At 47.6% G+C, this 24452-nt stretch overlaps 1 protein-coding gene across 1 annotated transcript in view, besides 1 other annotated feature; it reads right to left on the bottom strand.

The window, feature by feature from the left end:
• SLC24A3 (solute carrier family 24 member 3) overlaps positions 1 to 24452 on the bottom strand; it is a 510285-nt gene that overhangs the window by 190960 nt on the left and 294873 nt on the right. The window contains exon 3 of the mRNA NM_020689.4: positions 16403 to 16479. Within this exon, the coding sequence (NP_065740.2) occupies positions 16403 to 16479 (77 nt within the window). The remainder of the gene's footprint in view (positions 1 to 16402; positions 16480 to 24452) is intronic.
• Positions 15467 to 15684: a silencer, noted in NCBI's record as "fragment chr20:19496927-19497144 (GRCh37/hg19 assembly coordinates)". NCBI's record gives its function as "represses an EF-1alpha promoter that drives an FKBP-Casp9 reporter gene in an ReSE screen in HepG2 liver carcinoma cells {active_cell/tissue: HepG2}" and the evidence as "EXISTENCE:reporter gene assay evidence [ECO:0000049][PMID:32094911]".

The following is a 24452-nucleotide window of genomic DNA, read 5'->3' as shown; positions in this document are numbered from 1 at the left end:
TGCCTCAGTTTCCTCACCTCTAACATGGAGGAGATAATACTTCTGTCATGGGGGGGCAACTCATTTAACCTCTCTGAGCCTTAATTATCCATCTGCAAAATGGACATCAGAACAGCCACGTGTTGGGACACTCTGATCTCCACGCGGGGGCTTGGAAAGCTGCTTTCACTTTTCGCTGTGGTCTAACGTTTCCCAGTTCATACCTTGGGAGACACCAGGCTCCTCAGAGGCAGTGGCCATGTATTATTTATCCCTCCCTGTCTCCATTCTGCATCACTGGTTTCCAAAGCTCTTCGTAATACTTCTTTGTTTGATTGAACCTGAGGTATTTACACATACACTGGCTAACCACAATACAAACAGTTTGTTTCCTTGGACTAATTCTTCCTCCAAGCCTTACTTTACTCATTTATAAAATAGGGAGGATTGTACATTCTTGGATGGATGTTAATCCACACTCTAGAGAGTATGGGGAAGGCCCCAGACACCTCTTGCCAAACAGTGGGCTCCAGTCAATGCCAGTTCTCCTCCTCTTAATGGCCCAGGAGCAAAACAACTGAATGCTGTATTTGTACTTGACATATTTCCACATGCCATGTTTCTTTTATTCCACTCTTCCTTGTAAGCATCTTAGTAGGACAGAAGAATTCCTAATTACTTGACTGACTGCTTTTTTGCTTTGTTTTATTTGTTGGAACTTCTAGAAAAACTTCTGATGCACTCAATACCCACTTCTGGGTCCATTTGTGACTGAAAAATAAAATGGGTGACCAGTGGCCTGTTAACCTGGTGGCTGGGCTTACAGCAGAGCAGCAATAAACATCAGGGGGCCTTTCTGCTCAACTCCCATCCTGATGCATGTGGACAGGTTCAGAATTGGTGTGACTACAGCACACGGATAGGCTGAACCACAGGCAACCTAAGGCAGGCACTGGCTAGCGTCTTGCCCTTACCTTTAATATTATTATTTTGGGGACAATGGCTCTTATTTATGATAGAGTCCTATTCCTTCTATGGAGCAGCTGTGGGCCTTTTTTCTGCCTGCACTGGTCAGGTGACTCTGTCTAACCCCAGGGCATGGAGCCATACCTGTTTACTCTGGACAGGTGGGTATGGAGCCTTTCCCCCTGGAGTGTCTGATTAGACCCCAGTGCTCAAGCTCGCAGCTACTGTCTAGGGACTTATCATCAGGCAATATCAAGCCTTCTGTTGTGCTCCCTGGAACTTCAGGCTCATCAGAAGTGGTTGCATTCTGGGGAATCTGACAATGTCCCTGCTGTCTAGGGATGGATGCTTCAGGTCACCCAGGAGCTCCTTCCTCTTTTACTATATAAATCACAGATCTCGGACCTTGAGAATCTTTAGGCTGGACCTTAAGAAGCTTTTCCTCATTCTAAAGATGAAGAAGCCAAAACCCTGAAGGGCAAGTGACATATTGAAGGTCGTAGAGCTGGTCAGTGGTGGCTCTGGGACAGAATGACCCACCACCATTGAGCTGTCATGGAAATCAACAAGTTGTTGCTACTGACATCCTCACCCACCCAGATTCTCCCTCCTTTAACCACTGAACCAGTTCCATCACCACCTTACCCCAAAAGACAAAGAGAGAGAGGCCCTCGGCACTCAGTTGATTTCAAGACACTCAGAGTAGCACGGTGATTCTGTTGCTGCCCAGTGAGTACGGTTTATCTATGTCATGTTATTAGAAGGATCACAATAGAAAACAAAAGTCTCTGCCCATGTCTTACAGTGCAGGAGACCCCTTCCGTTCCCCTTTCATGCTGTGTCTCCATGCCAACGCCATCACTGAATCAAGTATATATGAATACATTCACAGAGGAGCTTTTTACTTCCTTTCCAACACTCTTTTTAAAAAAATAAAAAATAAAGGCCAGCTGGTTTTATAGGGAATGACATAGTCAGTCATCTCTTTAGTCATACTGAGCCCTTTCTAGTTTGAACAAATTCCTCTCTGAGCTGACTCAGTCTATCTACTATATAGTCTATTTACTATAGGAAGGGAGACAAGAAGATTCACTTCTTGCCATTTTTGGTATAGAAAGGTCAGATTCATTTATCAGCAGAGCAAAGAGTGGAATCAAATTTTCAGGTGGCAGGCTGTTGGTGAGGGTTCACACGCAAGCAAGAACTGGGACATGTATAACAAACTGCACAGGCAGCAGGGTGTAAGGTCAGAGTGGTATCAAAGAAAGGGGCTGTACCCAGCCAGGTACCTAGGATGGGATGAGCCTGGATTATCTGTCAAACAGGAGGAAGGTCTGAGGCCCAAGTGCCATGATGGTGCGGGGAGGAGGGGATGAACTTGGGAGAGGTAGTCAGGGCCAGATCGTGCAGTCTTGATCCTCATGTATGTTTCTAAAGCATCACATGGAATATGGATGTGAAGGTGAGATCCATCAGTGAGCTCTTGCCATGGGCAGCGGCCTGATCAAGGGCCATGCTTGTGGAGATGGAGAGGAGATGGGATGGAGACCCAGGTTGAAAGTGGCCAGACCTTGCTGATGGGTGGGGCTACAGAGAGAAATCAAGGTTGATTTCTAGGATTCCAGCCTGTGCAGCTCAGTGCATGGTGGTGACAAGTATTGACATGGCAAAGCTAAGAGACGAACAGGTTTGCAAGGAGAATGAAATAATTTTGTCTTCTAAAACCTCATAGCTCCATTTCAAACTACGTTCAGACTCTATGTAAACCCAAAAAGTGTTGTATGGGTTGCCACGGAGACACATATTTATGTGTGTGTATATACATATACACACACACATATATACACACATACATGTATTTCTCACATGCATACAAATGTACATTTATTCAGAATCATACTTTAAATAGCTGTGCCTAATATGTTAAAAATTAGTGCCTATTGTATTTTACAAAAGAGTTGGAGTACCATAAATATACATTGTGTGTGTGTAATGTGTACACTGAGATCTAAGCATGGGGATACAACTATCCTCCAGGTTTGATCCTCTAAAAAGGAGAGTAATGGGTCTCACCCCAAACTAATTCTGAAAAACCAAAGGCATGAAATCCAATGAATTTGGGCTTGGGTCCAGGAGAGAATGAGAGGCCCACAATCAGTCAAACCGCTGGTCCCATGAAAGCTTCTGATGCTAAAAAGCATTAAGCTAACTGCCAAAAATACCCCCTCTGCCTAATTCCTGTGGTCCACAGTACAGAGGAAAAGACAGCTGGAACAAGTTCAATAAGGGGAAAAAATAAATCCTCAGGCTTCTACCTTGGTGCACAAAACAGCAGCAATCAGAGTGCTAATGACACAGCTGAGAAGGTAGGTTTCATGACCACCTTTGGAATCCACTCATGGGCAAGCAGCAGGGTATCTTTCAGTATTCTCAGGATTCATCATGATAATCAGTAAAAAGCATCCAAACCAAAGTCGCAATAGTGAGGGCCACGTGTAGACCTGATTTTCCTATGTGCTTGGCGATTTCCAAGTAAAAGGACATGTCATCAAAAAATCTATTTGCAAATAGCTTCTGGGATTATTGGGAGAAATGGTGAAGCATCTTAGGAAATAAGGATGGGTTAAGGGCACCAAAGGTAAAGAGATGGGAAGGTAAAGAGATGGGAAAATGGGCACCAACCTGTGTCCCTAGCTTATGGTGAGTGGGAGCGCTGATGGCTGACAGTTTATTACAAATGTCCCCTGAACCAGCACTTTGGGATCCGGTTCCAAATTCCTAAATAAGTTGTTCAAACTGAAAGGACAAGTTATCTTTGGGGCCCTTGAGTTTCTTTAAACTGTGAAAACAAAGAAGCACCAGAAATGGGAAGAGCTTGGGAAAATTTTCAGGAGCCTTTAAAGAGGACAAAAAAGGATTTAGAATATCAGGGAAACAAAGGGGTCTTAAAGAGCTTGGACTCCTGGGCCCTTACTAGGTGGAATCTTGGAGCCTGGGACAAACAGGACTGCTTACTTTCTAGTAGTTGCCTCTCAGGCTGAATGGGGTTAGAAAACCAAAGCCACATTTACAAACCTCACTCCACCCGCCCTTAGTTGGTGATATGTTTGGGTACCTTTCATGTGTGGGACACTGAATTTGGCTGCTGAAATAAAATCTCAGTAGATAGAAGCCAATCCTTCAGGGAAATAATTTAATTTAATAAAAGTTGGAGAACATCGTGATCCTCAGTAATGATGACGTTTGTTTAGATGCTATGTCTTTGTGCAAATGTTCAGAAAGGGCTCTGAGTCACTCTTAAACTGTGAAATGCACATGTCTTTGCAGGGCAGGGTCTCTGCTGTCCCTGGATCTTTGCAATGCCCAAGCTATCTGGACCTCTTAGAGAGACAGGGCATGCCACTGGCATAAGAGACTTGTGTGTTCTTACTTCATCTTGCTCTCTCCTGCCTCATGAGCAGGGGTTTCCTGAGTATTTAACTTAGTCCATGTCTCTTAAGGAAGGTCTGGCCCCCCAAAGTTCATCTTGTTATGCTTAGGACTGATGAAACCCCCAGAGCCTTATGAAACCACAGCTAAATCACTCACTTACCAGCTTAGTGGATAGACCCTATACTCAGACACCAAGATCTTAAGCACACTTCATTCATTCACCGTCACACTACACATTCAATGAGCACTTCTTCCATGCAAGGTGCCGTGCTGGGCATGATGGGGACATAAAGATGAGTGAGGCATGGTCCCAGGTCTCCAACATCATTCTGGGAAGAGGGGAAGGACATGTTACAGGACAGCAACAAAGAAAAGTGGGAATTTAGAGTAGAGGGAGATCTGTGCTAGTGTAAAGTCCCACTCTTCCTTATAGGAAGTCAAAGAAAGCTTCCAGGAGGCAAATGACTTCTAGCTGGAGTTTGTAGTTGGATTTCAGGGAGACCAAAGGTTTTGGGGCCTAGGCAGGAACTGGGATTTCTTGGTGGGTGGTGAATAATTAATTTTTGCTAGGCCGTGATACATGGGGTTTATGAGAAGAGAAAAGCAAGACTGCAAACATAGTCATCACATGGATTATGGGGATACTGAAATAAAAATAACGACAATGGCCAACAATTACTAAGTCCTTACTAAATGCCCTGCTGTGCTCAAAGCATCTGGCATGGATTGATCAATTCTCACGCAGACAGCCCTATGAAGTAGATACTATCATTATCCACATTTTTTAGAAAAATCAAGATAGACAGAAGGAAAATAACTTATACTCTTACTTTAGGTAGTATGTACCTAAAAAACAGCAAGGCTGGGGTTTGAACCCAGGAAGTCTAACTCTGAAAACCCACTCTCCCCACCATGCCATGTGGACCCTCTGATAGTGGGGGAGATGGAGGAAGGATAGTTCCGAGCAAAGCGTGACCTGGACGTTGCTCTCAAGGGCTGATCTGGTGTTGGTAGAGCTAAATTTTGATCGGAAGAGAATAGACTGAATCCAGGAAGGTCAATTAGATGGCCACTTTCTGGACAAGAAGTGACCATAGCCTGATCCAACATAGAAGAGATGAAAATAATATGAGAGCTAACATTTCCTTGTGCCTATTGTGAGTGGGGCACTGGATTAAACATGTTACACACTTTATCTTCTTCATCTTCATGAGGTAGGTGCTACCTCAATGGAGACACTGAGGCCCAGAATATTAGGGGTCACATAGGCAGTACGTGGCATAGCCAGGGCTTGCACTCGTGACCTCCACACTAATCCTGGGAAGTGGTGGGAGGGCCAATAGGACTTGTCAAGTCCAAAATCAGAGCCAGCACTGGAGGAAATGCACTGAAGAGAACAAGGGTGCTTTGGGACCAGTCAAAACGCTTGCTCTTCATGGCTCAGTGGGTAGGAAGGGAAACATGTGAGCTGAATAGAAAGAAGAGCTATCGGGGAGACTGGCAGTGGGGTGACACAGCACACCCGCGGAGGGTGTGACCATTCCAGGTGGAGTGTCAAAGCTGGGTAGCTGGATGAGAGGCAGGGCATCCTCTCCCACTCCCCTACCTCCGAGTTCGTTCAGAACTGGAGAAACTCCAGGAGAATCTGCCAGAGCCACCTACCTCAGGAGACTCCCAGAGGACCCTCGTGAGGCATGTGAATCCTCACCGCACAGCCGCGCCTGTGGAATGAGGGGCTGGGAAGAAGACTCACGGGGAGTCTGCAGGCTGGGAGCTTCAGCTGAAGCCTAGGGGTGGGCACAGGTGCAAGTCTACCCCTCTTTGAGCGGCCCAGCTGGGTGGGATCTGGTGTGTGTTGTCACAGGCACCGTTGGTGCCCGTCCTCGTCCTCGGCCACTCTCCTGAGTATGCAAACCCCATGACGTCCATTTGTGTGAGGGCTTTGGTGGGGCCGACTGGAAATGCTATGAGTTTGGGACCCCCAAGCAGCCCTCGACAGACAATAGATAGGAGCTGGTGGATAGATGCCCCTCCTCCCCTGCCCTGCTTGAGGTCATCAGTTGTGGATGTTCTCCATGACCTGCCAGTTCCCCAGTGGGATGAAGCTCCAGCCTCCTTCTCCCCAGCCGTCACTGGCTCTCCCACAGACCCTCAGGGCTGCCTTCCTTCTCTACCTCACTCCCCATAGTGGACTTCCTGGGACCATCATCCAAAGTCTCTGCCCTGGCCTCCTTGTCTGAGGGTCTGCTTCTGGGGGAGTCAGCCTGAGACAGCTGTCTTGGCTCCTGTAGCTCTTCTGGTGTGGGTCCTCAGGAGGAAGTGACTCCTCAAGACACTGGCTGCAGAACACTCTGCATATCCAGGTTCCTGGGATAGGGAAGCTTCTCTGCTGTAAGATCAGATTCTTCTTAAGCTTGAAACTCCTATCTGGAGTCTCTACTATATAAGGGGGGCTGGCTTGGGAGAGAAAGGGGAAGGATGGCATAAAAACAAAACTCCTGCTGGATAGTGTTTATTCTGAAGTCTCAAGTCATGATAAGCAGCAGGTCTTGTTCTGCAGTTTTCCCAGGTACAAAATTGTCAGAAAACTATTGGCAAAGAGACAAAACCATTGAGCGCCAACATGGAGTGTGCCCTGATAAATTAGAGCATTTGGTTGGCTATTTTATCCAGATTGATTTGCTGAATATTTGCTAAGACTAGTTCTTTAAGCCATGACATATGATCATTCCAAATAGTAGTACCTCATTATTTACTTAGCTTTTGTTCTTATGCTTTTCAGAGGAAAAAAATACTCTTGTAAATTGTAGATATAGTCAACATGTAACTATGTTATGCAGATCTGTGACTGCTGCAATGTCAGCCCAGAAGAACAAATAAATAAAGCTTATTTACTATAAAAATAAAATAAATAAAAAGGAAATACATGAAGTGGGGAACAGGTGGACTGAGTAATAAACAAGTAAGATGAAGAGGAGCATACAGCAGGCTGCATGTATCTAATCTCCACATGTAAACGTTTGGTATCTAAGCAATGTGCATAAGCTCTCTACTGAAGGGCAGGGATGAGCTAAAACACAAAATTATGTCTCCTCTACCACCATTTGGCGCCATGATAAAATCAAATTGGAAACTGTCTACTTCAAAGCTCATTCCCCAAACATCCTTCTATCTTGCCCAGCCTCAAGACATTAACCAAACTGGTTGCAGGTCAACTCCGGCCAGAGTTTTGCTGTGGATGTCGAGGAGGGACTGGAGTCTCAGGATTCTGTACGTCCTGAAGTCTTTGTGGGTTTTGCATAATAATAATGGTAGGTGACATCTATGGAGGCTGTGCCTCAGAAGCAGGTGGTTTTCAGTGCGTGTCATTTAATTGGGATCCCAGGAGGTTCCAGGAGAGGAGCAGGGAAGTGAGTCAGGGCAGGAAGAGCATCTAATAAAGGTGTGTTACCAAGTGGGGCACTGGGGCAGACAGCGAGGGCTTATTCCTTTGGGGGTACTTTCGGGGGCAGGCTAGAACATGTGTTTCTGTTAGCCCAGCTGAAGCGAGAGGGAACAGGCATTTATCCACCACCAATCCCCTGTCTGTCTAAGGCCTTCTTCTGGGGGATGCTGATTTCCTGGCACTTCTTGCCTGTCCAGTATTCAGGTAGAATAGGATGTGAGGGTCCAGAAAATGCCCAGAGTTGCAGGGGCTGGAACTTTAAAGTTGGGTGGGCATGCACAGGTAGCAAGAACTAAGCAGAGGGACAAGTAAGGTATCGTCTATTCAGTGCCAGACACTCTGCCAAGAGCTTCATCCACCTGCTTTCATGTGTTCTTCAAGGCAGCCTGATGAGGTGGGTGCTGTGACAGATGAGGAAACTGAGGCTCAAGAAGGCAAAACAGCTTTCCCATGGCTACAAGCTAAAGTGGAAAATTCAGGACTACGACTCAGATGGGTTTCACTGCAAGGGCATGCTCTAAGCCGTCATGCTTTATATCCAGCTCAGGTCCTAGGATATCAACCCACCAGCAAGCCATGGGGCCTGTGGGGCTGAATGATTAGACCTGGACCTTCTGAATTAAGTCTCATGATCAAGGGGGTGAGGCAGTGATTTAAATCACTGATGTATGGAAACATAATTTACTCTCTTTGTGCTAATCCTCTCTGGACACCAGTTTTAGCTTTGTGTTGACACTGACAAATTAAGGACATGCTCAGCACTTTTCCAAGAGTAAACAGCAAATTCCACAAGCTATTCTAATCATTTTTCTCTTCCAGAGTAAAATCCCTTAACTAAACACGTCTGCCCTGCAAGTGAGTTGTTGCTGGGACCTTTCTGACCAGATCATGCAGGTCCCCTCAAATTTCAAACCCCCCTGGTTTAAATGCACTCCTATCTTATTTTTAATGCCACAGTAAATGAGTTTGTTTTCTTAATTTCTTTTGAAGATAGTTTGTTTTTAGTGTATAGAAATGCTACTGATTTTTGTGTGTTGATTTTGTACCTTGCAACTTTATACTGAATTTGTTCGTCAGTTTTAACGGTCTTTTGGCAGGATTTTTTGGGTTTTCCACATACAAGACCACGTCATTAGTAGACAATTTCACTTCTCCCTTTCCTTTTTTATAGTTAATAATAATATGTATTTCAAAATTGGTAAAAGAGATTTTAAATGTTTTCATCACAAATAAGTAAGAATGTGAGGTGATAAATATATTAATTAGCCTGATTTGCTTATTCTACAATGTAATTACAACATCACATTATACCCCATAAATATAGATGATTATTGTTATTCAGTTAAAAAAAAAAAAAACCCTGCAGGAGCAGCCTCTCCTGGAGCCCTGGGCATGGCAGCAACACCAGTTGCAGAGAGGCCTCCTGCGCCACCCCGTTCTGTTGCTCACAAGGAGGGCAGCTCCGTCTGAATGGATTGGGCTCTGGCCCTGTGACAGGAGGTACTTTGTGATGGGGTTGGCAAGCACAGCTGAGCTGCCTTTGGTGGCGTTTGCGGGGGAAGAGACGGTGAAGATCAAAAACCTTAACACTGACGGAGCACCTACCATGCGTTCCCACTTTATTGATGTGGATATTGAGGTCAGGAGAAGTTCTGGGACTTGTTCCAAAGCAGGAAGCTTGTTGGTCATATACATGTTTTTCTAGCTTTTAACTTGGGTGTCCTTCCTCCTTACCAGAACATCTCATCCTTCCCTTGTTTTGGTAAGCCTGGTGGCCTGGCAGTGCCTTCTATACATCCTGCTTGTTTGGATGGCTAAAGCCAGGCCAGCCCTTGAGAGGACTGAGTAAAGCAGCAGTGTCTCTTTGCTGACAACCTTTTCTCCAGCCACTTCTGCTTCTTGATTTCAAGTTGATGACATAAACGAGGAAGGGAAGATACTGAATTAGAATTCATTGCTAGGCCTTCTAGGGTGATTCCTAGCTACATGTGGCTATCTACATTTATGTTAATTTAAAAAAAAGTTAGCTCCTCATTCACACTAGCCACATTTCAAGTGCTCAATAGCTCCCATGGCCAGTGGCTACCACGTTAGACAGCACAGATTTAGACTACTGGACAGCTGGGGAAGGTCTGCTAGACACTGATGGCCTACAAATGGAGAGTTGAGTCTTAGGGCCAAAAAAGTGAAAAGACATCCTTGAAAGACCATGAAAAAAAAATACCCCTGGGAGTGAGGTGGAAAGTGAGCTTAAATATACAAAATACTGGAGGAGATGGGGGCTGGGGAAGGGGCCTTCTGCACCTCCTGCCAGGACCCTGGTCTTCTGCCCCCTAAGAACTGGCTACTGCATCATTAGTTTATTCTTTGGCTCTGAACAACAGCAATCTGGGCCTGGGGGAGTGCACCCAGGGAAATAATTCTTTCAGATATTAAAATTAAATAGCAGAAATAACTGGAAGAACCTCAGGCCCCAGGAAATGACATCCATTTGGTGAGGCTCCTTCCAGAAAGAAGAGCTTCCTCCTCCTCTCCTCCCCCAGACCTGAAAGAGGAGCAGTCAGCTGGGAGGAAGGGACCCCTTTCCACTTGGAACCTGGGCTCTCCCAGGAGGTGTCCCAGCCTCATGCTCCTTCAAGAACACATCCACATAAGTCTCCACTTTTGCTGAGGATGGGAAGGTGGGGTTGTGGAGCTGAGACTCCTCTCCCTCCAGGCCTCCTATGGAAACCTGTGTGATTTGGTCACACTGACTGGTTAAGACCTGACCCAGGGGGAGTCAACCTATAGGGGATGGTCACCCCATGGCCAGGCAGGAAAAGTATGAGCTGGCCCAATAATTAGAGACTTCTGGGGACTATAAATTAGGAAACTGACCAGTGCCGGGAGGTACTGAAGAAGCAGGGCAAGTGCACAAAAGATGACAACAGCTAGAGCCAGGGCCAGAGTGGAGGCAGAGACACACTTCTTCTGAGAGAATAAGGATTGTGTGGGGAGGGAGGGAGGCAAAGAGGGAAGGAGGGAAGGAAAGCATGGTTCAGGTCACCTAGGTACTCTGCTAGGCTAGGAATAACACAAAATCCAGAAATAGACAGTGGACCTGAAAACCACAAAGCCAGAGGGAGGATAAGATGTGACTAGCCTCCCTCCTTCCCCAGTACTCCAATCACTTTCATCACTTCTATATCAAAGGCTGCCCTCCAATGCTAATCAGCTTCCTCTGCAGTTTTGGGGAGCAAAGAGGTCACAATGGGATCATGAGACAGAAAGCACATTCTGAAGTTTAAAAGCTGATCTAGGAATAAGAGAGAATTTGGATGTAAGCTCATAAGTGAGATTCCCCAATTCCCAGACCAGATAAAATTCCCTGGGTCCAGGGGAGGAAGAAAGAAGTGCGGACAGGTGTTGACGCGGGGAACAGGGGAGACCACCAACCTTGAGATCATGCCCTGGGCACCCTCACCATGCAGACACCAAAAGGAGTGATGTTAATGGTCCTCTTCCTCATTGTTGGAGAACCTCCACTTGTAGGGAGCCCCGGCTTGACGGCTCAGCTCAGCACAAGAATCCTGCTTGGACTTCCGGAATGACCTGCGCCGTAGAGAGCCTATTTCCTTTAATAACATGAGCCCCTAATGGGCACTGGACACAGGAGTGTGAAGATGGAGATGTGCACAAGGGAGTCCCTACCACTAAACAGAAGGGGCCTAAGGCAGATGGCCAGGGACCTCCCACGTGGCCAGAACATCCCTTTTGCTGCTCTGATCAACCTGAGGAGGTGCAGATGGCAGCAACTCCAACAGCTCAGTGGAGGGAAAAGTCCCCTCTGCCTGAATTCCCAAGTTTCCTATGGGACATCTCAGGGCGTGCCTAGGGTTTAGAAAATGAAGACGCACATTGAAAATATTCTCCTTGATATGTCTTTTCCCAGCACATCTATTGACAGGTCTGGGTTGCTGGACTAATTAGCAGCCCTCCTACCAAACAGACTCACTTAACAAGAGCTTGCCTTGGTATGGGATAGAGAATCATTTTCAAATGTGTGACACCTTCTACTCTCATACACACAAGCATATAGAAATATCTGCCTTCCAGAAGACAGGAATTACATTAAAAATCGGAAAGCAAGGCTCAAAGCTTAGGAAGAATACTTTTGAAAGCTGAAAAGGTGTGCAGAGAGTATTTATTCCTGCTGTGGAGTTTGATCTCTTAAAGATAGGCAGCCACCCACACCAACTTCGAGAAAGAATTCCAAATATTGATGATTTAAAGACTCTTACTGGAAGAGAAATGCGTAGCTTGGCTTATAATCTCCCAGATTCAGCTATTTGTGTCATGGGGATAATGAGCAAAATTTCACAAGATCTTGATAAATCACAAACAAACTACAATTCTAGAAAATCATTCATAGCCTTCTTCCTTTACTTGGCACAGGCTCAATGAATCTATAGGGTGCAAATTTCCTCACAGACAGGAAATCCTGCTTTTAGTGTTTCAATGTTATAATAGATTAGATATAAAGCAAGTTCTAAGACAAGTGTTTTCTTGGGGCTATCTTTTGTTGAAAAAGTTGTCAAGATCATGGATTTCCCCACTAGTAAGGAAACCATACATGACAAACAGCCAGAAGGAACAGAAACCTTTTTTAAAAAGCACACTCTCAGGCTTGGGATTTCTGAAATACATAAAACACGAAAGATCCAAGGGAACATTCAAGCTGCGATGTTCAGAAAGTTGAACCAGCAATGGCTGTTCAAAGCCACACACAAAACACACACAAAGCACACACAAAACAGGGAAGTATCTACAAGAAAAAACAAAAAGAATGCAAGCTTTGTCATTTAAGGTTTAAAAGAGTGTATCAAGGGGTCAGAACCATCTGTGTCTCCAGACTTCTACCCAGACTGAGGCTGAAGGCTGCAAGCCTTAGAAGCAAAGCAAACTCGTGGGGCCCAAATGGAAAGGGGCAGGTTGAGTGTAGGTGCCAATGCTAAGTGTGATCAGGTTTCAGATCAAACTGGAGCAGCAAGGACTAGGCCCTCTGGTCCAGATCCATGACTACGAGCAGTGAACCCCAGGAAAAGACAGCCCCATGGCCCTCTCTTGGGGGAAGCCTGAGGTGGCAGGACACCCCTCTGGGACCCTCCAGCAGAAGACCATCACTCCCCTGCCTGGATAAGGCAGTCCCAGATCTTCAGGAGCCTAGAGACAGCCTCCTGGGGTCGTTCTGTCCTCCACATTCCCTTCTGGATATTCCCTAGGGCCCTTGGGACTCTGGGATCACCTGCCCAAATGGCCCTGAGCCTTTTTCTATGTCCTGCCTGGGCTCTTCTCAACTGACTGTAGGGCAGATGACTCTGGGTCACTTCGGGCGAAGCCTGAGCTAATGCAGCACAAACCCTAGGCAAGGAGGGACGGTGAGGTCAGGAATCTCTCACCACTCCAACGCAGCAGCTAAATCACCTGTGGTGCCTCCCATGTGAGGTCCTGTCAGTCTCTCCACGCTCATATTCTCTCACTCTCCAACACCAACACCTTTGGTTTCTGCTCTCTCTAGACTCCCTGACTCTCACCTCTCTGTGTCTCTGATCATGAGGCTTCCCATTCCTGTGTGGAGTCCCTTTTCTCCATGCTTCTTTGGAATCTGCCTGCACTCTTCAAGAACAGCACCACCTGGCCTTCCTGACACTGAGTTGCCTCCTCTAAGCTCCCACAGCACAGCACGCTGTATAGACCCTCGTCAGCATTTGGTGCATGGCAGGTGCTGACCATAAGTGGTTCTCTTCACAAGACAGCAGGTTCCTTCAGAGTGAAGCCATGTCCTGAGCATCTAGAAGGACTCAGCCCAGCACTACTCTGCAGGGGCTCAAAAAGTGCTTTCTAGATGTCCAAGTGCAGGAAGTCTGTATTTTGCTTCTTGCAGCTTTGACCCATGCATTCATCTGTTTCCTGCTGGCCAGTCAAATGCCAGATGTTACCCTTCCAGCAGTTCTTACATCCAATGATGTTTGTTTAAAAATTTCTGAGCATCCTAAATGTGCTGTACAACATGGAAGGTGAAGGGGATAGAAAGAATAATTTACTCCTGCCCTGAACAAAAAGTGACTGTCCAACTCCAGGCATTCAATGGCTGGACACAGTACGAAGGGGCTTCTTTATTGGGGCTTACATTCTGGTGGTAGGGGCTTATATTCTAGTGGGTAGGATAACAAGATTTGATCTTGGGCCTTGGGGATGGCACCAGCAGGTCCACCCGAACATTTGTCTCTGCCCTGCTGCTCTGCCCACCTGGCCTCACGTTGGACACAGGCATGTATGTTGTGTGTTGAAGCTTGCCCCACTTGGGTCTCTTCCCTACAAGAAGAGGAGCCAGGGAGAAAACCTGCAAGGGCCTTGGCAGCAGGCTCATGGCTATTTGGGTGGAGAATTCTGGGCTTCTGTGTGCTTGGAACATAATCTTGAAGGGGTGGGCACTGGCCTTGGTCCATGAACTCCTTGCCCTATGGATTCTAAAGTGTAGGGCCCAGGGCAGGGGCTAACAGTGGCATCGGATTCCAGTGATTACGAAGTGCTAACATGTAGACTCATGCCCATTCTTAGGGAAGTGTTTAAGGAGGATAGTATGCATTTGTGTCCATGTTGCCTTTATGCCAGCCTGGAAATGCACTACCACAGACACCAGAAACCTTCCTGGGTATCCTGGGCTCATGAAGAGCAAGAAAAATGAACCCCCTCCACCTCCAGCTGATGACTCAGTGAGTCCAGAGGGGAGATGGAGGTGGGGAGAAAGGACCATGCAGCTGCAGGCGACAACATCTCTTCAGGAGGATGAAAGCACGCAGTGTTTGGGTCCAGAGTGGAAATCTCATATCTCAGATGTCAAAGCATCAGGATGCTAACGGCTGCCAGGGAATTCCGGATCCAACTCAGTGCCTGGAGCTCCTCAGCCTTGCGACAGGGTAGCCTCCTTGGTGCCGAAGGTGCCATCCATATTAATGGCTCAGTGCACACAACTTCCCTGAAAGGCAGGGAGGGCTGGGGGGTTGCAAAGGCTCTCCTTACTCATTTGGTATTTTTAGAGAATGTCCTTGTAGAAAAGAGACTTTTCATGCTCCCTTTTTTGGGAGTGGGAGACCAGTTGAAGAGTTGATTGATTTTACCCAGAGTCAAGATCAAGGTGGCCTGTGGGTCGTAAGAGGTCAAGTGTCCTCCCAGAAGTGACACATAAAGCAAGGCCAGCAGAAGTGGGCTTCAAGCCCATGTCTTCTCTGACTCCACAGCCCAGGCTGTGCCTGCTGACCTGCTCCAGCTGTGGGTTGAAAGCAAGGTCTCTGACCCCTCCGTTGAATCACAGTGGGCTGTGACTGTAATGGTGGAAATGACACCGTGGGACTTCAAGGCTAAGTCACCCTCCCTTTCTGAGCTCTCTGGGCTGCCACGTGGAAGTCTGACTGCCTGAGGCTGCCATGCTGTAGAGGTCACTGTAGGTGCTCTTCTCAGTAGCCATAGCTGAGCCAGCCCTTCAGCCATCCCACCCCACATACCAGGCATGGGAGAGAGAAACCCTTTAGGACCACTGGTCTAGCCACAGCCATCGGAGTCGGTCCATCTGAGGCCCTGGATTCCGTGGAGCAGCATTCCCACTGTGCTCCTTCTGAGCACTCAACACAAACAACCCAAGAACAAAACAACATGGTGACCAGGCATGCCACTGAATGTGGGGAGCTCGCTTCACAGCGATAAATAACTAGAATGGAATTAAGGGGGAGGGAATGCCACAGAGATGGGGAAGCAGTAATGTACCTAGTCGAGAATTTGGCTCAGAGATTTCTTGTTGGACAGCTGTCCACTCCTTAGACATCGTCACATGTATGCCCTCCCCCAAACCCTCCAAATGGGGACAAGAGGACCACAGACTTTAGAGCCACTGGCTCTGTGGCAGAAGATGCTGGGCAGTGGTGGAAAGTAAGAGGCCAGATGGGAACAGAACAAGCTTTTCTTGTTCATCTTCTATGTGTCAGACATGGTGCTAGTTGCCATTACATATAATCCACTCAGTGAGCAAATGTTCTGTCCCTACCACATGCCAAGAAAGGGTCTGGGAATGAAGCCGTGTACAAAACCAAGTCCCTGTTCTCATGGGGCTTACGTGTGAGTGAGGGTGAAAAGTTGAAAAGCAAATAACTATGCAATGGCAGATAGCATGGAGGAAAACAAAGCAGGGTAAGAGGAAATATGGCGGCATTTCAGAAAGGCCAGTTAGGAAAGGGCTCCCCAAGAGGGTGGTGTTTGAGCAGAGAGTAGGGTTAAGTCATGGAGAGTGGGGCTGTTTGACTTTAGAGTCCACACTCTGGGCACTAACATGAAGGGAAAGTGCATAACAGATGGCTCCACCTTCGAAAGCTGTGGTCTTTCATCTCCATTTGGTGATGGCCCCCTACAGAGCTCGAAGGACCCCCACCAGGCAGCGTGGGAACAGGAGGGCAGAGAGAATCTACTGGGGGCACCTCAGGTGCCACACCCCACACCCCTAGGCCTAGCCTATGGACCCTCCAGGCAGAGGCACAGAGGGGTACTTACACAGAGCACATGGAGGACCACCGCACCTTGTCTTCTATCCTCGTTTGTGAAGATGTCATTGGGGAATTCATGCAGGGCTAAAGAACAGAGAAAGAAAACCGTCTCAGCACAGGTGACCACATTTTCAGTGCTGTAGGTCTGGGAGTCTTGGTTTTAACATGGGGTCCATGAACTTGGATGAAAAAAAGATCCTGAATCTTTAAGTTCACAAAACTAACCAGAATTTAGTGTTTCCTTCAGATAAGAACGTGGGCAACCAACCACAGTAGCGTTAGCAGAACCTGGGGCTCGGCCCCACAGATATTTTCATAACACGTCATACCATCATACTTGTGCAGCTCTCACCCACTGCTTCAATCTTATGGTGGTTGTTAGGTCACCACCTGTGACTTAAAGTGTTAATGAGGAAGCACGTGAACTACTATATTGCAAATTTGTTTTCTAATACTTTGACAGCTTCATTTCCACACAGTCAGTTTCCATGTGTAACCTTATGTACTTTGCTGCATGCATGCATTGAAAACTGCTTTTCTGAGCGGGGGCTGTAGGCTTCACTGGATCACCAAAAGGGTCTGTGGCTCAGACAGATTTGAAGCCCCTGCTCTAAGTGGGTCTTCATTTTGCTCCTTTTCCACTTTGCCTGACCTGGCTTAGGGTGTGGGCCTCGTGTGCTATTAGAACAACCCCCTCCCTGCTCCCTCCCTCTGCTCCCCTTTCTAAGTTGACCTCCATTTGTGGCTGGACCAGAATGCCAACCACAGGGATGTTCATGCCTTCTCAATGTTCCAAAACCTTTCTGCCTTGAGATGAAAGCTGGAGTCTGTGAACTGACGGTCCCAAGAAGGTCCTCCACCACTAACCAGGCCTCCTGTCCCTTCCTCTCATAAAATCCAATCAACCTTCTGGGCCAGGTTCTCACATCTCCTCTCCTTTATGAAGCCTCCTGTGGTCCCTCCGATAGGAATCCACGGCTCCTTTGCTGGAGGATGTGCCCACCAGGCGCGGCAGGAAGCAGCACACACCACCCCCACCCACAGCCCCACATGGGCAGACATCACCAGCTGCTGAAAGAAGTCTTTCCCTCTGAGCTTGATGATGTCTCCAAGTCTTTCTCTAGCAAGTTCTTAGAGAAACCACCACCATTTGATGGGGAGGATATGCTAGATGATACCTGCTTGCCACCTGTCTTATTTTGGATTCCTCTAAAAGCAGACCCTCCGACAAGGATGTGGAGCTATGTGGTTTACTTGGGAGATGACTCCAGGATGCACTGTGCATGAGGGAGGCAGTGCAGCCAGGAAGGGGAGAAGAGACAAAGACAGTGCTGCTAAGGAGTGAGTGGATGACCTCTGAGACATCCAGGCCCAGTTCTGCTGGGGACCCCTGGCTTGCCCGGAGGATTTGTGCAAGACACAAGCCATCGGTCACTGCTTGAAAAGGCTCTGCTCTCTGCATCCAAGGCAGCATTGGCTTAAGGCATTGTGCAGGTATTGGGTTGGAGCCACACGAAGTGTTTGGGCCAAAGGGTACGTCTAGTACATAAAGCAAGGCTCACCTTCCAAAGTACAGCAAGTGGGGGACAGTTAAAAATACTACATTATATACTTGAAACTTGCGAAGAGGATGGATCTAAATCTTCTCACTACACACACACACAAACACACACACATAAATGATAACTATGTAGAGGTAATGGATACGTTAATGAACTGAAATGTGGTTAACATTTCACAATGTATCTGTATATCAAAAGATCAAGTTGTATACCTTAAGCATATACAATTTTTATACGTCAATAATATCTCAAAAAGGCTTTTTTTTTTTTTCTAAAAAAAAAGCAAGACCCACCTGTGTGTCTAGCCAATCACAATCTCTAGTTTTGTATGGTCCTTTAAACATAAAAAAGGAGACAAGAAAAGACAGGAACATCATGATTATGGGAGGATTTTTCTAAGCTGAAGCTGCTCTAAACAGGCTGCACAGAGCCCCTCTGAACAATGAATAAACTGGGAGAAGCCTGGAGGAGTTTCCCTTGGGGACCAAAATGAAGCCACGATCTGGAAATTAATGTGAGGGGCAGAGGGATGACAACAGTGAGCATTTATTGAGCACCTGCTCCTGGCAAGCACTGTACCTTGCACTTTGCCCCTGTGATCCCATCTTATCCTCACAAACAGATTATTATTCCAGTTCTGTAGATGAGGAACCCAAGGGGAAGACAGATGGGGCAACATGCTTGGGCTCCATGGCTGGAAAGTGGGAGAAGGGCTGCACACCCAGCAAACCCAGGGCTGGGGACGCCCCTCACACATGCCACCCCCCTACTGCATGGATCTGCAATTCCATTCTGCCCTCTGACTTCTTCCTTCTGTGACCTCCTCCAAAAGAGGATTTGACCTGATTTACATTCAGCTGCCACTCTCCTGGAGGAGAAGCAATAGGCTTTTTTTTTTCTTTGCATTTTTCAGTGTAGCTGCCACAGGGTGTTTTGGCACTGGCCAGTCCTAGGGTTGAAAGGTCACCTCTCCTATTGTTCTCCTAGTCTCAGAGCTGGAAGCTAGAGATGGGATGCTGAGTTAATGTATCAATCACAACAGCCATCACCCATGGGAAACAAGCCAGTCATATGCCCTGGGGCAGTGCCAAGCAAAGGAATCGTGTGGAAACCTCTTATTTGAGGTCCCCAATCATCAACGAGGGGTACAGTGGGTACAGGTATGTGGCATCCAGTTAGCTCTTTACTTTCCGCCCCACAAGCTTCCTCCGTGATCAATAACAAGGGACCGAGGGAGCACAGGAAAGGAGTGAAAGTCACCCCATGAGCATCATCCACGTCTGCACTGGGTTCTCCCCAGCCCAGCTCTATTCTCTTGCCTCACTGCTGCCCCGTGCATGAGGCCACTGAGGGCCAGGGAGCACATCTGTTCCACCAAGGACACCATGTCAGTAAGTGACAGGCTTGGGTTCTGAATCCAGGCATTCTGAGTTTCAATTCTCCACAACATGAACAGCAACTGGCTGAATGAAGCAACTGCAGATATGTGTATCCCACTGGGCCTGGTTCTCTGGTGGAGGAGGTTTCTTGTCAGGGGTCTCCATGCCAGCCCACATGGTGGCCCCAGCTGGGACCCCTGGGGAAGACACACTGGAGGCTGAGCCCTGGATGGAGCAGGACCCAAAGGGCCCCATGCTGGCTCGGGACAGTCCACCCAGAAGCTGCCCAAAGTCCTGGCCGGGCAGGGGTGAGCCAAAGAGAAACCACAGGAGCTTCGTCAGGGTCCTCCTTCCTTGGAGGCTCAGCAACCCTCCCTTTCCTCCCTTCAGGGAGTGGGCAGCTTACCAGTGACCTGATCTTGGTCTGCTCTCCAGGGCCTGCTCTCTGATCCATGCCCAGCTGGGAGCTCCTCTATCAAAACTGTCTCCTCTTGTCAGCAGTCACAGCTGGCCATGAGGAAGTGTGTGAAAATTCTCCATGGGGCAATGAGAGCCTCCAATCTGGCACAGTCAGCAGCACAGCTTGTGAATGGAGCGGCCAGCACTGTGGGCCTCCTCACCGAGTTGAATGTGGGTAGAATGTGGGAGCTCCAGGGTCAGGGTGGGCAAGGCAGAGGACAGTCTAACGGTTTTGAACCACTGTTCTTCAAGAAAAACAAAGAGTCTTATTTGATGGCCAATAGCAATGTGGAAAGAATGACCAGGTTAAATACTCACCTAGCAAACTTCACCTGATATCCACCCACTCTGACCACTTTTTCATTACAGCTCCTCTCAGAAAACACGTATCAGGAAAATAACAAAATTGGAAAAATGGTTTCAAAGGACTCATGCACAGCTTGCAAAGAATACTACATATATTTTATTTTCCCTTTTAGATATGCATTATCATTTGAAAAAAAAGTCACAGGGAGAGATTTCATCTAAAAATTGAGCTAAGCCCAGGCCGGGCGCGGTGGCTCACGCCTGTAATCCCAGCACTTTGGGAGGCCGATGTGGGCGGATCACAAGGTCAGGAGATTGAGACCATCCTGGCTAACACGGTGAAACCCTGTCTCTACTAAAAATACAAAAAATTAGCCGGGCGTGGTGGCGGGCGCCTGTAGTCCCAGCTACCTGGGAGGCTGAGGCAGGAGAATGGCGTGAACCTGAGAGGCGGAGCTTGCAGTGAGCGGAGATCACGCCACTGTACTCCAGCCTGGGTGACAGAGCGAGACTCCATCTCAAAAAAAAAAAAAAAAATTGAGCTAAGCCCTCTTCTCCTACCCTGTGAGAGGTGAGTCTTCCCTCATAGGTTCCAAATGCCCATGCCTTAGGCTGGGGCCCTCAAGAGCAGACCCTGAGAGAAAGATTTGAATGACAGCTGTTTGTTTGGGAGGTGATCCCAGGAAGCATCGGGAGCAGGGTGGAGAGATGAGGCAGGGAGGGGAAGGGGCTGGCACAGTGTCTCAAGCTTGCTGGGAGACAGAGGAAAGCAGGTCTCAGAGTTGTCTACTGCAGGGTCAGCAGCAGGGTGGGGGGCTCCGTCCACTGACGCCTGCCTGTCACTGTTTAGGGCTGTCCCAAAGGCACTGACCCTTCAACACTTCTGCTCAGCCCTGCACTGGCCAAGCCAAGCATGCTTCTGGGGCCAGAGAAGGCCCTAGAAAGAGTCACAGGTGATATATCAAGAAACCATCCGCATGTCTGGGTGTAGGAATGCCCCATGTCTGCCCTAGCCTGATACAACAGAATACCGTAGACTTGGGAGCTTAACCAACAGACATTTATCTCTCATAGCTCTGGAGGCTGGAAGTCTGAGATAAAGGTGCCAGCATGGTTGGGTTCTGATGAGGGCTGTCTTCTGGCTGGCTGAGGCCACCTTCTTACAGTATCTACATATCAGAGTATGAGTAAACTCTGGTCTCTTCCTCCTCTTATTTGGACATTAATCTCATGATTGGGGTCCCACTCTTACACCTTTATGTGACCCTAATTACCTCCCAAAGGTCCCATCTCCAAATACCATCATTTTGGGGGTTAGGGCTTCAACATATGAATCTGGGAAGTGGGAACAAACATTCAGTTCACAGCATCTCCGAAGCCTCCTTTGCATAAGAACTGAAGAGGAGACGCAAGGTATCTTATTGCAGGAAAGGAGAGACCATAACTTATACACACATAATTAGCTTCAGCACACAGCAGTGGGGCATGGGGTGGAGGTGGCAGAAGGGAGTCCCTCTGCACAAGCATAACATCAGGATAAACTGTTATTAAGACTTGCATTCTGAATCTAGCATGGTAGGACCCCAATGTTAAGACTTAGGGTTGTAACATGTTCTTATATTACATATCCTGTTCCACCATGTTAGAAGCTTCTTTGATTCATTTGCAAAGGGCATTTGTTGCCAGATGACCCTGCAGCACAGAATGTAAATCAGGAAGAATCCTATCTTAGAGACCCACTGGGGCAGCAGCTTCGTTTAGGGAGGCCATAAGGATTGTCATTGATCTTTGTCAGCTCCTACGTGCGTGCTATATACACAGCCTACTAATAACATTGTTATTTCACTCGTTGCCTTGCTGTGGTTCTAAAGCAATTTGGTATCACAGTGTTTAATCTTCCTAAGGAAGGGGTCAGCCTGGAGTCAAGAAAAGTGTCCTCAATTGGGAATCTGGAAATGTGGGGCTCAATGCCAACATTTCCAAAGTGTGGCTTTGGCCACCTGTCATTTCATCTCTCTGGGACTCAATTTGCCTTTTGGCCATTTGAAAAGTGGCCTCTGAGGATCCTCCTTCCCATTGCCTCTGGTCCAAACACAGTACACTGCAGTGCACACAGCAGATGCCTGATAAGTCTCAGTGGGATGAAGAACTCTGAGAACAGACCTTAGGCATGGATGGGGTAAATCCACTCTGCCCAGTTGACCCAGTGGTTCAAGAAAAGAGCTGCAACAGCAGCTGTGCTTTCCTCCTGGAGACTGCAACAGCTCTTCAACTGGCGACACACTCTGGTGCCTTGCAGGTGTGTGTGGGGCATGCGATTTTCTGAATAGCTGCAGCTGTCCAAGAAAAGAGTGTATGCGGACAGTGTGGTGCACTGGACTGGAAGGCTCTGCCAAGTGCTTCTTGGCCTCAGTTGGTTCACTTCTAGAACAAGAGGTAAGACAATGTGGGGCCTCTAGCGCCTCCCAGAGCTGATGGCTGGTGCTGATGTCACCCTCTCCAGGTGTGCATCCTAGCGCCAAATCCAAAAGTACTCAGCGCATTTTTTAAGGCTTGAGCTAGGATGCTTGCTGTATTTGGGAACTAACATTTTCCTTGGGTGATCAGTTAGATTTTGAATAAGATCCCACAGTGGAGAATCAGGCTCGGGTCCAGATCTCCTTCTGTGCCACACCGGGCCTCATTTCCTTCATCTGTAGATGGGTGTGTTGATGTCATCCCTGCAGGGTTGTTATGAAGAGTGTAGATAGTGAATGTGAAATACCTACCGCCATGCTTCCTGGGGTCACATATCATTATTCTAAATTATAACAACAATGACATGCTGGCCTGGTGTGGGCAGAGGACACATTCATCTCTGGTCTTGATGTTGAAATCCACATATTGCCAGTTCCTTCCTGTCTTGCATTGGCATCTGTTTACCTGGATGGTGATTAGTCCATGAGAGCTGCATAAATGCATGTGCCTCTAGGCAGGTGCTTCTGGTACTCAGCCTGTTGGGGCCACATGGCCCACATGGCCTGTTAACAGCAGCTACCTATGCAGGGAGAACGGAGCAGCCTCATCCAGCTGAGAGTCATTCCCCAAATACCTTCAAGGTCCTCAAAGTCTCTTTCTGCTCCTCTCTTTCATCCCCCAATTTTCCTTTCAGTGCATCCCGCCAGCCCTGGGGGCCTGCAGAAGCAAGCGGTGCTGTTCCCATGGAAACCACAGGGACCTGAGTGGAGTGGATTCCCCTTACCAAGGCAACAGCAATCAGCTTCCTTGCTTCTCCCTCCTGGCTGCTTTCATGAGACCCGAGTTTGATGAGTCTAAACGGAGGTTCACAGAGGTAGAGTCTTTTCTCCTTTGCTTGAAAAAAAATGCAGCAGGAACATTCATGCCATCTTTAGACATACTCATCACATATTGATCAAATGGAGCAGGCCAAAATGAAGATCAACACATCCTAAAAAGCCTGGCTCCCTTAACATGTCTGAGCAAAAGGAACATGGGCTGCTGCAGCCATCAGAATACCAGTCTGCCATCCCAGTGACCTTCTCATGACAAAATACCCATGCAACTTGAGGGATTGGTCTCTCAGGAATTGCACCGAAGGATGGCAGTCTGGATGCTACCCAGCTTCCCCCTGCAGTGATGAGTGGCTTCAAGCTTCTGTTTCACGTGCTTTCATCTGTCTTAGTAAAGCCTGTTGCTCCCACTTTTCCTGGGGCACTGTAAAAACTTTGTCTTCCGGGTGCGGTACCTCCTCCGCTTCTCACAAAGCCTTCCCTGCCTCTCTTTCTGTGGCCCAGTTGCATTGTCCCAGTGCTCATCAAATTATTTTCCAACCACACTGTAGGCATTTTCTTGTCCATGTGTACCGTGGACTCAGTGGCACCATGAGCTCAGCTCCCTGAGGACAGGAGCCCTGTCATTTCTCTCTTTGTCATCAGCACCCACCAGGCTGGGATACATGAAAGAGGACAACAAATATCAAGTGTGACTGAATGCAGAGGGCCTTTCTCTCAGGAAGTGGTTTTGTATAAACACAAGACAGAATTATTGGCTGAGAAATGGTGTTGGGAGGGACAGCTCAGTCAAACTCCCAACTACTAGATCCCAACTCTGGTGGCAATGAGGGCTGTTCACAAATACCCCATTTCTCATTGTTCCAGAGACCTAGGAGGAGTATTTCTACATCCCTTTCAAAGTTAGGTAAGGCCATGCAGCTTGCTTTGATTAGTGAAATGTGAGCAAAATGATGTGGATTGCATGTGGCTTTCAAACCAGTGCCTGGCTCACCATTTTGCATTTTCTTGTCTCAGCATTTCTTGAAAGGTACATCAGGATGCAATGTGCATCTCCCATC

Source organism: Homo sapiens, chromosome 20, assembly GCF_000001405.40.
Source record: "Homo sapiens chromosome 20, GRCh38.p14 Primary Assembly".
Classification (NCBI taxonomy): Eukaryota; Metazoa; Chordata; class Mammalia; order Primates; family Hominidae; genus Homo; species Homo sapiens.
This window is presented reverse-complemented; position numbering and strand designations above follow the sequence as displayed.